General features: G+C 38.6%; 1 long non-coding RNA gene across 1 annotated transcript in view; it reads left to right on the top strand.

Annotated features, from left to right (window-relative positions):
- LINC01214 (long intergenic non-protein coding RNA 1214) overlaps window positions 1–3548 on the top strand; it is a 58341-nt gene extending 54793 nt beyond the window's left edge. The window contains exons 3-4 of the long non-coding RNA NR_110186.1: window positions 2172–2228; window positions 3296–3548. This is a non-coding gene — a long non-coding RNA (long intergenic non-protein coding RNA 1214). The remainder of the gene's footprint in view (window positions 1–2171; window positions 2229–3295) is intronic.
- Window positions 3549–18093: the final 14545 nt, after the last annotated feature.

The raw sequence follows: 18093 nt of genomic DNA, 5'->3' as shown, positions 1-18093 counted from the left end.
CTTTAATTGGCTGTGAATGATGTCATCACACTGTTTACTTTTTTTAGTGAAGGCAAAGATCTGAGTGTGATGTGCATGTCCACATTGTGTTAGGTTTTGGAAGTTTCTGTTTGTCGTGGGTGCTTCCTCTTGGACTACCTTTGTAAGTTTAGTATTTGGGTCCTACTGTTAACAAGCTGGGTTTTTTCCTGCAAACATAGGGCAGTCTGTACAATTTGAAATGAAATTGACAGGTAAAATTCTGCCTTGACAAAATTTTAAGACAAGTAGGCTTTGTTTATCATTGAGAGTTGAATTGGCAGGTCTTTGCAGCTCATTTCCACAAAGCAGAACCTGTCTGGGAAAAAAGATATTTGACTAGGTGGTATAAGAAAAATATTAACGCGTTTCTAGAGCTTACAGAAGATTGGATTCCTCTCTGGCTTTTCTAGAGAGGCAGGAAAATGCTTAGTGTTAAGTTAAAAAATAACTGATTAAACCATAGAATTGAACATATGCAACACTGGTCAGCAGATGTCATGGAATAGACCAACAGATTTTCAGGAGGGATAAATCCTACCAAAATGTCTTCAAAGTTTTGGTTTGTTTTTTTCTAAGTATGATTTCACCCTGCTCTATGCCAGGTATATTCCAGAAATTTGGGTTGCACAATTGAAATAAGAATAATAATATTTTTACAATTAATTTTATTATAATTTGAAGGTACAATGTCCAATAAAAAGCTGAGGACTCTAGTTAAATAAAAACTAGGCTTAAGAACCCAAGAGGGCATCCTGAGGCAATGTCAGTTTTGGACACTTAAGGCTTTCATATCCTCATTAATCCATCCACATGATAAGCCTAACAAATATTTGTTGATGCTGATGAGGGCTGTTTCACATGATTTCAGCATATTCATTAGAAGCATCTACATACCAAAACATTCCTCAAAGTTGATTTTTGATTCATTGACAACTTTGGCTGATACCATGGGATTTCCAGAAGTTGCATTATTCTTTCAGAGCATTCAACGTAACTCACTCACTTGAAACTGCTTTCCTGGACAAAATGTGTTTCTAGGTCTAAGGTGAGAGAAAAATCAATCAATGAATAAAAGAACAAAATGCGTTATGCTTTTATTATAGCATACTGATTTTCTAAAAGGCTAAATTATATTATATAGCTAAATATAATTTTGGGTTCTCATTAAAATGTATATTTGTCTAGAACCTATTAAACTTCTTTAAAAGATTTGTAGGCATTATCCAAAAATTCTCTAAAATATTTAAAATTTTGAACTTAGATAAAATTGCTGTAAAATTTATTTAAAGTTAGGAAGTTCTGCAAGGGATTGTAAATTGCCAACCTGCTCTGTGCTTTGCAGAATCACAGCTTGAACAGGGCCACGAGGACCTCAGGATGATCTATGACCCATAGCATCTACTCTGTTGTCAGACACTGCCTATGATGCGGAACTTACCTTTCATGATAAGCCTTCCAACCTTATGTGGCTTTCAGAGGAAATTTATTTGGTTGGCCTTGGGCAACAGTTTAACTTTTCTGGGTCTCAGTTTTTTCACTTGTCAAGGTGTTCAGTCATTTTTGAGTTTCTACTATGGGTCAAGCAATCCCAAATCCCAGATATTTTCTTGTGGGGGCTGGAGGAGGACCAAGGCAGGGTATAAATAAGCAGAAAAATGAAATGAAATAATGTGCACAGAAGTTTTAGGCATTAGGAAAAAAAGTTTAGCTTTCCCAGGGGAAAGGCTGGGACATTAACAGTTATGAAGACACTATGGTGAGCAATTTAATAAGGTTCAAGGAATTCTGAGAACACTGAAGAGCACTGGGAACATCACTATTTGATTCTTTAGCAGCTCCTTCCCCTCCAAGCTCATGAAACTGATTTTCCTTAAAAACAGGTTAGTGGCTCTGTTCTCTGGATCAGGACTTCACTCTAGGTACTCTCATCCACTCCCTCTAGAGTCCCCTAGAATGTACATGCCCATGAAGGCAGGGACCCCATCTATTTAGTTCATCTTTCATCCATATCACCAAACCCAAATCTGACATGGAGATCCCAATAAGTATTTGCCGAATAAAAACATACTTGGACCATATCCAGAAGCTAAAGGGGAGCTACTACAGGAAGTTACATAAAATAGTGACATGCTTTTCTCTTCCCTCATTAGGCGACCTGGAAGCATACTTCTGGTAGCAATGGGGACACGGGTCAAAGGGGACTTGAGGTAAGGAGGTCTTGTAGGATGGTATTGCAATAATTCAAGTAAGGAGTGATGAGCAGGTGAAATAGGGTGATTCCGAGGATACTGGGGTTAGCCTTGATGGCTTACTGGCCACCTGTATCATTTGGATAAGGGTCTTGTTATTGACAATTGAAAATATCCTAACAGAAACAGCTGGAGCTATATATTTAGTAGTCACCAGCCAATGGGTGACTGCTAAAGCCAGGGATGTTACAGAGACTGCCTGGGAAAAGTAGGTTGAGAACGGAGTTCTGTGCACCTTACGTTTGTGATTGCATTCAATTCTGAATTCTAGCCTATGACCCAAGAGGCCCTAAAACATCAAGGTACATCTTCTGCTTAATTTCAAGGTTATTGTGTGGAATGAGTGAGATAATGTAATGTGCTTAGCACATAGTATTCAATAAAGGTTACCTGGCATGATTATAAATAATTTAATATATAATTTATATCTAATGATGAAAATACACTTCCACCTATGTGCTTATTTAATTTTTCTTTTGCTTGCTTTAATTCGCCCGTCATTTCCAAGCAGAACATTCCTCCTCCCTCCCTCTCTTTCTATCTGCCAGGGATGACTTAACCATTAGACACAGTGGGCCCAGTGCTTAGGCCCACAGAACTTTTAGGAGCACACAAAAATGTTTTTATTTCTTTCAAAATCAGAAGAAAAAGATGAACTTTCAGGTTGAAGAAAATATTTTTATACATAATATAAGTGTATTGATCTTCATTCCAATGCAGTAGTAAAATAGAAATTTAATATTTTTTTGTGGAGGAAGAAGCCCACAAAAGTCAGGATGCAGCCCTGTTGCCTTTCCCCTTTGAGCTGCTGTTTTTCTCTTTTTGTTATTCTCTCCATCTTCATCTCCTCCTTGCCTTCACCCCACTCTTTACTGTTGTAATTCCTAGTATTCTTCTACTTCTAGCATTATTTGGCCTATATCCATATGACTCCTTCATATTAAGTGAAAAAATAAAATAACATAAAAACTAGCATTTTCCTTGCATTGGTTTTCCTTTCCCATGTCAGCTCTTTAATTCCTCAGGTTATCAGCTTTCAGAATGAAGACACATAATCCCTATTAGAGTGGAAGACTTAAAATCGAGTTTGAGACCCACCTTCTGAAACTGCAGGCTCTTGGGAGCCTGATTTCCGGTGAAGAGTGTTGCTGCTTTGCATTTTTCACACTTGAACACAGTGAAGAAGATGAACATTAATTAGGATTATAGTGCCATGGAGGCTTACTGTGCTGTGAGAACTCACAAGAAATAAAATGCCATTTCTTTTTTTGGATGCAATTCTGAGTGTCATGTATGTATTAGTTCTTGGGCCCAAGCCAAGTTACTTTAGGGGTGATATACAATCTGTTATTTTTAGATCATATTGGGTAAGGGTGTAGGCTATTATTTTAGGATAGTAAGAGAAGATAGGTTTGTCTAATTTTAGATGATCAAGTTTCCTAATATGAATCTTCCTTTAAAAAGTATTTTTGAAATGTTATCATTTATAGTTCAAGCTTATGGAGAACTTAACGTTGAAAGCATTCCTTAGTTCAAGGGGATTTCATGCCTGGGTAATTTTCGAGTTTGATTGTTTTCTAGCTTACTTGCCTGACTTAGGATCCGTACTGCTTCTTAAATTTCATAAATAACGAGTTAAAGAAGAAAAGCAAACACACCAAAAACAAACCAATACTAAACTCCCTTCTCCAACAACCAGACTGTCCCAGGGAGATGTATGTAAAGTAAAAAATAAAGTGGCAGGATTCCTGTTTCGCAAATAACTTGAATTCTAATTATTTTTTAAAGACAGATTTAAAACAAAGCATTTTATGAATAATGTACAGATCATTAAGACTATAATCACTAAACTCTAGCATATAATATAAGCCTCTATTTCACCACAAAAATTCACACTGATTACCCAGGATGATTTCCAGATGTTTACTCTCTGCGTGTAATAAAATGTTGGTAAAAATTGTAACTTAGCTGCTATTAAAAAAAAAACAAAAAACCTCAACTCTCAACAGACATGTGAAATTTTCACCAAGACTTTTTCCCCATAGAGTCATCCCTCTCATGACAGAAATCTTCTTCAAAAATCTCTGGCTTACTTAAACCCACTTTTAATTTTAACCAGGGAAGAGAAAGTTGAACTATGAAATGTGATGAATTGATCACTTCACATGTATCAACTGGGTGGAAATTTCCACAGAATTCGCATAACTAGAAAATTGGTACAAGTGAATTATTGGGTCTATATTCAGATGTGAAAGGGAATAGGAAAAAGATTAAAATTGCAATAAAATTAAATCTTCAGGGAGAACCAAAATATCATGGTAAAACAGGGTATGAATATTGTCTTTTTATGTGTCAGGAATTTGAAATTTGTGAAAATATGCAATGGATCAATTTGGAGCATGAAAGTATCATGTACAGCAGCTGAAGAAGAGACAGGTGCCACATAAGGAAAAAGGGAACAGAGAGTCAGGTAGTTCAAAGACACAGGAAAGTAGTTCAAAGACGTATATTATGTAGAAGTCATTAAAATATACTAAAGAAGGAGATGGTAAAATAATCAAATACAGGATAATAAAGTGGAAGGGGAACACAGTGAGGGAAGGGGGAGGAGGTGAGATAATACGAAAAGAGAGAAGAGATGAAGAGGTAGAATGAGAGCACGCATGGGTGCAATGGTTGGTTCTGTAATGACCTGTTTCTCATGAAAAATGCATTATCCTAGAAAGGAATGATTTTTCTCCTCCCTCACACTACTTTGATTTGTGTGTTTACAACACACTAAGCCCACTGGGATGCAACTGAGGATTCAGAGCCTTTAGAATGATCAACCAGACACTGCTATTCCAAAAGACACCAAAAGCACTGTAAATAATTAAATATCAATACAAGTCAACTAACATTTATTGAATGTGCACTCTCAGAATGATGCAGGCATCAGCCTTCTGATAGACCTTAGGGTCTTGACAGAAAGCAAAAACCCAGATGAATAAAATGGTGATTTGGGAGACAGGGACTCAAAAAAGGCAAATGTAACTTAGCCCAGTAGGTCATAACTTTTTTGGGATAATAGACTTCTTTGTGAATCTGATGAAAGCCTCAGAGCTTCACCCAGGAAACTACACATTTGTGTGTAAAATAAAAATTTTGCTTACGTCATGGAGTTTATAGATTTCCTCAAGTTCAATTGTGGGCCCCCTAGTTTAAGATCCTATAGTAAGTGCTGAATTTAATAGATGCATAATTTTTAATAGGCCACTGTTTAAACTACATACAAATTCACTTCAGTTAAAACCTTAGGAATGGTTTGAATTCGTGAATTGGACTAAAGAGTGGGACCCAGATGTCATCCTCCTGTGAAACTTTAATAAACCAACTACTTTCTCAATCCTCCAGTGGAGTTAAATTTTGGGGGGTTTGTTTATAAGTTTATTTACACCTTGCCATCCTCTAGAAAAATTTTGACATATAAAAGTACATATAATACAAAAAAACAAAATAAATATTTTAGGAAAATAAACATCAACCCATGTTTAGGATTGAGGAAGTTGAACTAGCAGAACTTATAGTGTCATGGTAGACATAGGGTACAATTTTGTAACTTCCTGGTGGCTAAAGTTAAGATGAAGTAGGCTTAATTGCAAGACTAATAACAATCCATAAAATAAAAACTAATCTGGTTGTTAGATTATTGGTTAGGATACATTAGGTTGCAAGTAACAGAACACCTAACTAGGAGTGGCTTACGGGCATTGTTAGGATTTTTTTCTAACATAGCAAGAAGCCCAGAGATAATTCAGTCATATTATCAATGATGTGGGTTTTTTCTATCTGTCATCTCTGCTATCCTTAGGATGTTGGTTTCCGTCATACTTGTAACTTCATTGTCTCAAGTGAACTGCTAACTTGTGGCATCATATCCATGACCAAGGCAGGGAGAAGACTAGAGAGCTCTTCTCCATCTGTAGCTTTCATCAGGAAGCAATTGCCACCTTAAAAGCCCCCTTGTAGACTTCCTTTTATGTTTCATGGCCAGAACTGGATCATATGAACACCCTGTCTACAAGAGAGACTGCTAAATTAGTGTCTGCCATTTTGGCCTTTTTAGAGCAAGGAGGGCAAAGGAGGGTCTTGGGGATGGCATTAGGTTAGTATCTTTTACAAAGGATATGAACAGTTTTTCCTGATATTGAGCAACCTCATTCCTGGGTGTCATCAAATGAAGATACTGTGTGATACATCAGACCATACCCTAATGTCAATCTATACAGTAAATATAGCAGTGAGTTCTATCATGTATCATGGAGTTTCATGGTTCTCTCTGTAGGCTGATGGCTTAGACCAAGGCACAAATTGGGAGAAGGCAGGTCTACGGGAAATCAAAACAACGTATTCAAGTACAAAGCCTTGTTATGATCTAGTTTAATCCAACAGTAACATTTAGCTTATCTAGAGTCATGTATGAACAGCAATGCCCTTGAACCACTTTCCATAAATATTATTTCTCACAGCTGGACATTGAATAAGAATGGGACCACAGGGAGTTAAAGGCTGTAATCTCTAACACAATCTTACCTGGAGCACAAAAGCCTGCATTGTTGATAAGGACAGATACATAGGCTTTGACAACCAACCAGGGAGAGAGTAGGGTTAAGCACTCCTTATAAAAATTCAGAAGCATAACCAAGACATGTGCCTGTTAGACAAATGATCACTGGTGGTTAGACTGGTGGAGGTGAGCCCCAAGAAGAGGTAATTATTCTTTCCACTATCTTCCCTTAGAGTTTGTCTTTATCTCTATGATGGTATTTACAGCCCATATTTATGTAGTTTGCTGGCTATCAGCCTACTCATTTTGTAGCCCCTGATCATGTTATCTTTTACATAACAGACTTGGGTCTAAATTTAGAAATATTTAGAAAAAAAATCCTTTTATTGAACAGCGAATAGTAGTTGCTTAGGTAATATTTGGAGGGACAACTTTGAACAAAGAAATCAATGACAACTTATTTCATTCTATTTTCAGTACTAATTATTTGACATCAAAATATGGGCCAAAAAACGCAATTACTTTTGCACCAACCTAATATCAAGCATTACTTAAACTTTCACTGCTTGAAGACCAGAATACTTGGTGTGATGGACTAGACACTAGAGGTTAAAAGCTCAAGCTCAAGGGAAGAAACATATGTGCCTTCCCTTGAAGAAGCTATGTACTAGTTGAACTGGAGGAACATAGAAAACATATCTGAGAAAGGAAACCAGAACATTTATAAACACTGTTGTTTTAATAAAGGGTAATTCTATGTTTGGAAGAAAAAGGTACAATTTAATTATAATGCTTTTATGTCCAATTCTATGTTTAAGGTATTTGCTTGGTTACAAAGAACTAAGGTTTATGACTTCCTTTATAGTTGGAGGTGTTAATAAATGAAGAGAGTTGGTGAATGGAGTTTCCCTATGTGAAATTTTTAAATACATCTGTGAATATGTTCTTCATCATTTATACTCAAGCTACATCGTTTGCACTAATTGTTGGTTTACATTAGAAACACAGAAACACACTTTGAGAATTGTTTTTATTGCTATAGACATAAGGAGACATTTTCATCTTATTGGTGGTTTAGTAGCAAATGGAAAATTACATGACACAAATTACACTTAATTGAAAGAATAACAGGAAATGAAAGATGATTGACATGTGGCAATAACAAAAAAGCTTATTTATTCTCACAGAAAATTAAAGAATTAAGAACTGGGATGTCAGTTATCTGGGAAGTGTGAAATTCTGGACAAAGAATTTTAGATACTATTCATAGAGTGATTGGTGCTTTTTATATTTTTGCTATTAGATTATAAATTATTTGAGAGCAAAGCCTGTCCTCTGGTTTTACATTTATTCATTCAATAAGCACCATGGCACTATGTGGGGGATCAAAAATAAATAAGAAATAATTTCCTTTCCTCTGTGGACCAGGGTCTACTTTGGAAGAAATAATGTTTATACAAAAAAAAAACAACAAAAAACCGTAATTGAGGATAGACCGTTCTAAATCTCACACAGGAGATTAAAACAAGTTCCCAAGATTCTGGGAAGAAAGGAGTATCTCCAGCTGTCCTGCGTCAGGAAAGGCTTCACAGTGGATGTGACATGTGAGCTGGACATTAAGGGGCCAGCAGCACTTTACCATAGGGAGATGGAAAGAAGGACATTCTGGGGAGGAAAAACATTGTAACTAAAGTGCTGATGGCAGAAAAGAGGCTCATGTATAAAGAAGAGAAAATCATCCAGTTTTCCTGGTCCACAAGAGCTCAATAAGCAGAGAAATGAGAGATAAGGTTTAAAACATGAGTTGAGGTCATGAAAACATGGAGAGTCTGTTAGGTTTAAATTAAGGCCCTTGGACTTTGTTTGATAGATAACGAGGAGCTATTGATGGTTTTCTGAGTACCTGATAGACATTAAACATAAGTTTTTTGAGTGGATGAGGTGTCAGGTGATCCAAACCATGCTATCATTCTGTACATTCTGAAGTGCCTAACACAGTGTTAGCACATAATAACTGTACAACAATAGTTTTTAATTGGCTATAGAAAAATACATAAGCAGGAGAGCCATCAAAAAAGGTATTGAGAATGTCTGACAGCTTAGAGATAAGCCAGACATGCTCTTTTGGCACTCACTGTTCACATCTACCCCCTTCTACACACTCTTGTGTCATAGGGGCTGGAAGGCTAACAACTACATTTCTCAGGCTCCCTTGCTGCCAGGGTTTGAGGTGAAGTCCAGGAAATAAGATCCTTCCCATGAGATTTGGAAAGTGAAATGCTGGTGGAGCCCGTTTTTATTTCTATGGCAGTGGTAAGCCCTGGCAGAAATGCATTTTGTAGTGGACAGACTTCACAATCACCCTATAGTGACCAGCTTCATGAATGTGAAGCAACTGTGAAACTGGCAGCAGTTTCTTGACCTATGCGTGTTGACAATGATTTCCTGACCTCTGGTTCATAGCTTCAGGGTTATAACCTTATAACCTAGCATCAGCATGATCTGTAAGTCTAATAGGACCTCTTCACATGCATTTCTACGGCTCTTCCAACAATTTTGCAGCACCCCATTCCCTGTATTAAATTCCCTTCTACTCGAGATACCTAAACCCTTTTCTATTTCCTGCACCAAATCTTTACAGGAACAAAAGATGAGGAAACTTGCATGGCAGAAGGTGAAAGCCATTCAAAGGCAAGTCAATGTGGGACTGAAGAAAAATACTTCAAGTCCAAAGCTCTTTTATACTACAAAGGGCATCAAAGTGCCTTTCAGTCTGTGTCAATTCAGGCCTTGTCCTCCAGCCTCTCCCTTACTTACCTAAAAAAAGAAACCGTTGTTTTTTTGCCAATTTACAAATATATATATATATATATATATATATATATATATATATATATATATGTATATATATTCATTGTAGAAAACTTAGGAAATACAGAAAATTATAAAGAAGGAAATAAAAAGCATCTGTAATTTTACTAGTGGGGATAACTTCTTGAATCAGTAAAGATGAGGTTAAGCTGTAAGAGATAGAAAACTCAACATACAAGCAACTTAAATTAAGTAGACATTTCCCAGAATGAGCAACATTGCAAAACCCTGTCTCTACAACCAACAAGCAAACCCCACAAAAATTAGCCAGACATGGTAGCATGTGCCTGTAGTCCCAGCTACTGGGGAAGGCTGAGGTGGGAGGATCATCTGAGCCTGGGAGACCGAGGCTGCAGTGAGCCATGATCATGCCACTGCACTCCAGCCTGGGCAACAAAACAAGATCCTGTCTCAAAAAAAAAAATTTTTTTTAAAGTAAACATTTCATTCTTTGTTTCTCACATAAAAAAGTTCAGGAGTAAGTAGTCCAGGGATAGTGGCTCTAAGACCATCAGGAATCCAGGCCCTTTCTCTCTTACAGTTCTGCTATTCTTGACACACGCTTACACTTCATTGCCCAAGATGACTGCTCTAGCTCACTCTCTTATACTACATTCCGGCCAGGAGAAAGGGAGAAAGAAAAGTAAGAACATATGTCCCTCTCTTTAAGGAAGTCACATGTGAAATTTTGTTATGTCCCTTTGTTCCCTGTGGTCATACCTATTTGAAGAGAAAACTGAGAAATGCAATCTTTATTCTGAGCAGCTATGTACTTAGGGGAAAACTGGGGGTTCCCTCCTGAAGAAGAAGGTGCGAATGGGTATTGGAGGACAGTTAGCACTCTCAGTCACATAACTGTAACTAGCCAGTCCTCCTTCATACAGAAGCATGCAGTTTTCTCTTTCTTGGCATCTCAGGTCCCAAAGCCACCCTCATTCCAGGTATTAATGCTTCTGCTGATATCATATTTTGTCACTTTGGCCTGTTGCCCTTTCCTGAAGCATTTTGCCTGGACTACTTCTATTCACATTAGTTACTTTTATTTTTTATTTTTATTTTTAGAGATGAGGTCTTGCTCTGTTGTCCAGGCTGGAGTGCAGTGGTGTGATCCTAGCTCACGGCAGCCTTGAAATCCCAGGCTCAAGCAATTCTCTTGCTTCAGCCTCCCAAGTAGCTAGGACTGCAGATGAGCTACACCATACCTGGCTCATTTATGATTATTACTGTTTTAGAGATGGACTCTCACTATGTTGCCCAGGCTGATCTACAACTCCTGGTCTCAAATCATCCTCCTGCTTTAGCCTCCCAAAGTGCTGGGATTACAGGTGTGAGCCACCATACCCGGCCAGCATTAGTTATTTTAAAAATTCTTTCTCTTATCAGTCCACCTCAGGCCACCTGACTTTTCTCTTCTCAACTTACCTGAAAATGTAACACCCCACTGAGTCCCTCAGATCAAACTTTTTTTTTTTTTTTTGAGACAGAGATTCACTCTTGTTGCCTAGGCTGAAGTGCAATGGCGCGATCTTGGCTCACTGCAACCCCTGCCTCCCGGATTCAAGTGATTCTCCTGCCTCAGCCTCCCGAATAGCTGGGATTACAGGTGCCTGCCACCACACCTGGCTAATTGTTTGTATTTTCAGTAAAGATGGGGTTTCACCATGTTGGCTAGGCTGGTCTCAAACTCCTGGCCTCAAGTGATCCACCCACCTTGGCCTCCCAAAGAACTGGGATTACAGGTGTCAGTCACCATGACTGGCTTACAAATGGTCATTATAGAAGTTTGATCTGGCCAGGTACAGTGGCTCACACTTGTAATCCCAGCACTTTGGGAGGCCGAGACAGACAGATCACTTGAGGCCAGGAGTTCGAGACCAGCCTGGCCAACATGGTGAAACCCCATCTCTACTAAAAATACAAAAATTAGCTAGGTGTGGTGACGCCCACCTGTAGTCCCAGCTACTGGGGAGGCTGAGGCATGAGAATTGCTTAAACCCAGGAGGCAGAGGCTGCAGTGAGCCAAGATCATGCCACTGCATTCCAGCCTGGGTGACAAAGTGAGACTGTGCCTCAAAACAAACAAACAAACAAACAAACAAACAAACAAACAAACAAACAAAAAAACCATTTGTAAAGCCACCTTGACCTGTATCTGAGTCCTTTTCCAGGAAGGGCTGCAGGCTGTATTGCCTGTCCTTCTTCTGACCCACCATTCTATCTTTCCCTCTAAATGTCAAGTCGTTCTTTAAAACAACACCTCCCTGAAGCATTTCCGGATTAATTGCAGCTCTCACGCTCCTCACAGGAAGCGCCAATCAATGTCCGTTCTTCTGTGCCTTACCAGGGCTGCAAATTATTTTCTGTTCAGTACAAACTGTGTTTCTTCTGATTTTTAGCCAGTATTCTTTCTAGGTCCTTTAGAGTCTGAGTTTTCTCTAACCATATTCTTCTTTTTTCACTTTTTCCACTCTTACATTAAAAGCTGCTTAGGGACTACAACCTCTGACCCCAGAAATATATGCAAATAGACACTTAACGCAGTCTGTTGGTGAATTTCTCTCATGGCTTCTTTTAGGCTAAGCAAGACTCAACGAGCATCTTCTGGCTTCTTTCTTGGGACCTATTATGGCTCTTATCTACAACATCTTGGGCTTCCCAAAGCTTGAGGTTTTGAGAATCAACCACAGACAGTTGACTTCCAGTGCTACTCCCTAGGAGAAATTCCCTGGCTGTGAGAGCTCCTTGCTTAAATAAGGCAGGAGTACTTTCTCAAAGAAGTCAAGGATCATTTCACTATCTAATCTCTGTGAGAGCAATTGGATAAGGAAAGGAGTCTTTGGGGCCTGCAGCAGTTAACAATAATCTAGGTTATGCTGCTATAATGAACAACAGTCAAATCTCAGTGGCTTTAAACCAAAAATGTTGATTTCTTGCTTATGTTACTTCTCCCATGTGGGTTGGCAGGAGGACTTTGACATAATAGAGTCCCCATACCAGTGACCCTCATTCCAGAGAGGAAGAGTTCTGGAGCGTCTTGCATCAATAATTCAATATTCCAGCCAGGAAGAGACCCACATCACTTCTGTTCATTGGCTAGAACTAGTCACATGGTTCTGACCAAAGAGACCAGGAATTACATACAATCTACCTTGTGTTTGAGAGGAAGGGGAACTGGAAATATTTAGAGAACAGCACTAATGATGTCCACAGACCCAACTGTAATGATTAACATTCACAGGCTAGTATTTGACCCAGACTAACTTGAGGCAATTGCAGGCAGCATTTCTAAACCTCTTTGTATTTCAATCAAAAGAAATCACTTTCAACATTTTGCTCCTAATTACTCTGTATCCCTCTCAAATTGTTCCTACTTCAAGGTGAAATCAGTGAAATGTTTTGAGAGCCCTGGTGCAGAGTTTCAGGCCTGTCACAGCTTCTTTGCTAACATCTTCACCTTGGCACTTGGGTTCTCCTTGAGTGTCCTCCCCACCCCCTTCACCAGCCTCAACCTCACTCTGCCTACCTCATCACCCTGGGAGCTGCTTGCATGCATCACTGTTTTGGTGGATGGCAGCAATACACAAGGGCACCTCATTGTTGGAAAGGAACTGCCTTCCGCCTGCCAAGGACAAATGCAGACACACAAAGCAATATCAAGCAAGACTTCACATCAAAGGGAACCCTGCCTGGGCTTGCCAAGAGCAGGCTGCCTCTGTGTCTTTCTCTTCAGCCTTGTCAGTATTCTTAGGGTCCAACAGGCCTATGGTGTCCCTGCCAGGCCGCCTCATTCACCCAGCACTCCTGTTCACTCTGACACCAAAAGCTCTGGGCTCTCCCTGAATCTGGGCTCGACAACTTGAACGGAGCACAATGCCAAGTGTTTAAAAATGCTGCGTGATTAGGAAGGAAAATCTCTGAGAAATATTTACTCTGTGAATTCTATGTGAGTAGGAGAACAGAATACTTTACCTTGTTCAGTGAAGCAACACATAGAAAGTTAAGAAATCCCTGCCTAAGACCTAGGAAAGCTTACCTAAAGAGGAAGGAAGAATGCTCTATGAGCGGAGATTTGGGAACATTGGAACCAACACTGAAATTGACACTGGCTGGCCTGGGCATTCAGACGTGACTGGGGAAGTCGTGTGACAAACAGAAGATCCAGAGAAACTTTAAGTTCTGCTTTAGAACCAACAGAAGAATTCAGGTTCTGTTGCTTTAAGGAAAAGAACACGTTTGTTTTACAAAGAGGATGAGGGAAAAATGGAAAAGAGAGACTGGCAGGGACAAAAAAGGGGATTGAAACTTTATTTTAGACAACAGGTAAGCCTATCTGTCTGTTCTGGATGCTAAAGAACTCTTCTGGAAGGATACACTCATCATCAAAATACAATGGAAGTTACAAAGTTTTAAAGTCAAATATTGTGAGAACTTGAAACGGGAGATGGTCTTTTCCAATTTTTTTTTTTTTTTTTAGTTATGAAAATCTAAGGCTCAGGAATGTCAAGGGGCCTTTTCACAGTCACACAGCTGCTTAGTGACAAAGCTGTAGCTAGAACCCTGAGCTTCTGACTCTCAGACATGGGTTGTTAAATCACAGCGTGGTATAATGGTGCTACGTGTGGCACGTGATCAGAGAGCACAGGTCTGCAACTTCATCAAGTAAGGTATTTTTAACATGGTGACTTCAACACTTTGACTAAGCTCTTCCACTGTAGCCAACCCTACTGCACTGTTCCAACAGCTTCCCAGAATGGTAGTAATTAGAGCAAAGAAAAAAAATAGGACCCAGAGAAAATGTAACATTTCTTAGTAGTGGGAGGAGGTGGAAATAAATGCATTTACATAACTTTCTACTTTCAGAACACTTCATGTGACTACGGGTTATTAACCTAGGGTCCATGAAGAGAACTCAGGCATTCCAGGACAGGAAAAAAAAATTACATCTTTTACTGAACTCTCACTGAAATGCATCATTACCTTCATTATGAATGTAGGCAACAAACCACAACAGTGTTTGCAGTCTTTGGACTTTGTCACTAATAGAAATAAACATTTTCACATTGTATTAGCTGTTGCAGGTATCTTGAAATATCTTTACCTTTTTTATCACTTTGCTGTGATGGTAGTTTTTAGATCTGCTGCTAGATTTTGTTAAATAGTGCTTAATAAGCACCTATATTACTATACCACAGATTTTTATAAATGTTTTGATAATCATATTTCAATATAATTGGATTATTTTATAATTCTATGTATGTATTTATTTTAAGCTGTTAAAGGCATTATTCTAAGAAGGGATCTGTAGACCTCACCTGTCAGAGGGGTCCTTGGCATGAAAGTTAGGAACTCTGACATGTGAGGGGTCAACGAGTGTCAGGTTGCCAATGGATACCCATGTCACTAGGTCCCCTGTCCCTGCACCATCATCCTGTGGGCTCAGAATGAAGGGATGCTTGCTTGTCATTCTGGGTTGGAGAGCTGCCAATATCTCTTGCCACAGACTGTGTTTGTAATTCCAGGGTGTACCAGCCTTTGAAAACTGACATGATTATATTGCAAAACGTGACAGAAAAGAATCCATTGTTTGGCGTTATTATTAAAATTAAGACTGATATGGAGTTGGTAATATTTATATTAAGAGGGCTGTGTTCACACGTCCATGGAAGTTGACTTTTCTGCGGGAACTGGCACTTTAAAGTCCAGTCAAAAGGAAGTCAATGTTTTCAAAGATGACAAAAACTGATTTGGCATGGTCAGTACATGTTCAGACTATTATTAAGTAAGAAAAATAAAAATTTTAAATATTAAGACACCATTTCCACCTCTCAAATAGGCCAAGAGTTTTAAAGGTGGTAATTCTCAGGATCGATAGGGTGTAGTAAAATAGATATTTTCCTAAACTACTCACAAGACCAAGGCTTGACATAACTTTTCTAGATGGCAGATTGGGCTTTATGTTTTAAGTGAGTGCTTTTCACCCAGTAATTTCACTTCTAGGAATTTATTCTGCAGGCAGAATTACAAAGATATTCTTCAAAATATTATTCATAACAGTAAAAAAATTGGAAACAGCGTGAATGCCAACAACAAGAGCTTGGTCAAATTATGCTACATCTGTAGGATGAACTATTACGTAGCTAATTTAAAAAATAGCCATTCTGACAATATGTAATGATATAAGGAAATGTGTAAAAATAATGTAGACTTAAAATACAACACATAAAACTGCAAGTATAAAATAATTCTGTTTTTTAGTTTTAAAATATCCTTCGTATTTCTTTGCAATCTTACTTATGTACATATACCTATAGAATATGTGTGTGTAAAAAACTAGAAGGAAATATATCACAGTGTTAGGGTAGTGGCATTTAATTATTGGGTAGAGGCATTTTAATTATTTTTATTTACTTCTTTATGTTTTTGGAACTCCTGACATTAGGAGAAGCAGTAAGACACTGTTTTTAAGAAGATGAGCTGGTGCCACATGGGCTGATGTGTTTGCTGTGCCTTCTTGTTGCTCCAGACAAAAGTTTGTTTTGCTGGTTGCTACTGAGTGTTATTTTTCTTGTAACCTTTGCTCTCTTTCCCCACCATTGGCTTCCAGATGTCTGATTTCACCAAGTTCAGGGCACTGGACGCATGTGCATTTTCCCCTCTAACTTGAACAGGAAATTCAGAAACTGCCTTAAGCCTGCCAGCCTGATAGAGCCAGCACCAACATGAATATCAACCCAAAACCTCTTGGCCTAATGAAAAATAGCTCGATGGGGGAATGTGAAGCTTTTGTAAAAACTGGTGACTGAGTTTGAGATAGGGAAAGAATTTTAGGAGGCATCTGCCCCTCTTTCCTCTTGGTCAATGATGGCTTCTGCCTAGTTGTGCTTTCTGCATGTTGTGGGTGAAAAATGGAGATAAAAAGTAATTATTCTACAGCAACTTAACCTTTTGCTGATATTTGGTAGAAAGTGATAAACTTTCAACTTTCTGTCATTATTTAGCATGTAGTGTATAAATTAGCTGGAAAAAATTCTGTTTGAATAGATGAAGACATATTTTCTACGGATTTTACCTTGAAAGTGAGAAATACAAAGGTAATTTTCTGTTTGTGAATGTTTGTTTTAGGGTTCTATTATTTGCAGTGCCATTTAGAATTTTGGAAACATTAGAGTCTATATTCCATTCCTCCTGTCTTTCTTAAACTTGGATCAATTTTCTCCGGGTGAAGTTTAAAATAATAAAAACTGGGAAACCATTTACTCAATGCCTCCTGTTGCATAGCAATCTAAACAAACAGGCCCCTTTCCTCTGTTAAGAACTTCCAATAAGACAAATCACAAAGCTTGTGTTTAAAAAAATGATTTCCAAGTTCCCCACCCCCAACCCCATTTGAAAGCTTCCTTTAAAAAAAATAGAGGCAAAAGATTGTAGACAAGAAACTTAATTGACTTTTTAGTGAGTCACTTCTCATGCTACTACAGGGATTAGAAAACTCTTTTGTTTGCGGTGAGGCCAGAGGATCTGAACTGGACACATAAATACCAAGCCAACCAAAGCAGGACAAATAATAAGAAATAATAGTAACCATCAGGTGGTCAGTATCTTCTGTGTAGCAGACACAGTGCCATGTAAGTTATCTAATCTTATAACAAACTTCCTGTGTTGGATATCTTACATTTGCACCCCCAGGTCCTCTCTCTACTCTTTTCCATCCTGTTCTCTGCCCAGGGAGGATGACCTATTTAGACAGCAGCAAAGGGCTTGCTTACCCAAGAGTACTGGCAGGAGAGAGGAAGGAGGAGGTAAGATCAGAGTATGTTCCTGGCCCCTTCTCTGCTGGTTCCTGCAGGTTGGCTGTGTCCCTCTACCCAGAGATACAGCTCCTGCCAGGCAGCCCTTTCCATTCCACTCCCCTCCCTGGCTTCCAAGAATGGCTCCTCGATGCTTCATTCAGGTCTAGTGGTGGGAAGAGCTCCCTGCGGTTGCCAGCTCCATATCGAAGTGAACTCTTAGGCAATGTCTTCTCATGCAATTTATTGGGAAATCAATCAGAGATTGACCTTTGCTAGACAACCTCTAGTGTCTTGTAAACATTATTTAAATTTTAAATTATTTGTCTTTTCAAAATCATGGGCTGTGGCACTAAGTAGTTTTGGCCTTGACTGTAAGCTTTGTCAACATTGAACACCTGGACAAAGTATTAACCTAGCAGAGCCTCAATTTACTAAAAATTAAAGAGTAACAGTAATATCTACCTTACATGGTATTGTGAGAATTCAGTGAACATATATAAAATTTTATTACAAGATACAGCACATAAATCTAATTTTATTCCTCTTTTTTCCCTCTTTCTTTCCTCCAACTAGGGGCCAAATTTAGCTAACATTTACTGAGTGATTATTATGTGTC

The sequence above is a fragment of the Homo sapiens genome, chromosome 3 (genome assembly GCF_000001405.40).
Source record: "Homo sapiens chromosome 3, GRCh38.p14 Primary Assembly".
Classification (NCBI taxonomy): Eukaryota; Metazoa; Chordata; class Mammalia; order Primates; family Hominidae; genus Homo; species Homo sapiens.
Note: the sequence above shows the minus strand (reverse complement) of the source record. Positions and strands in the feature narration are given on the sequence as shown.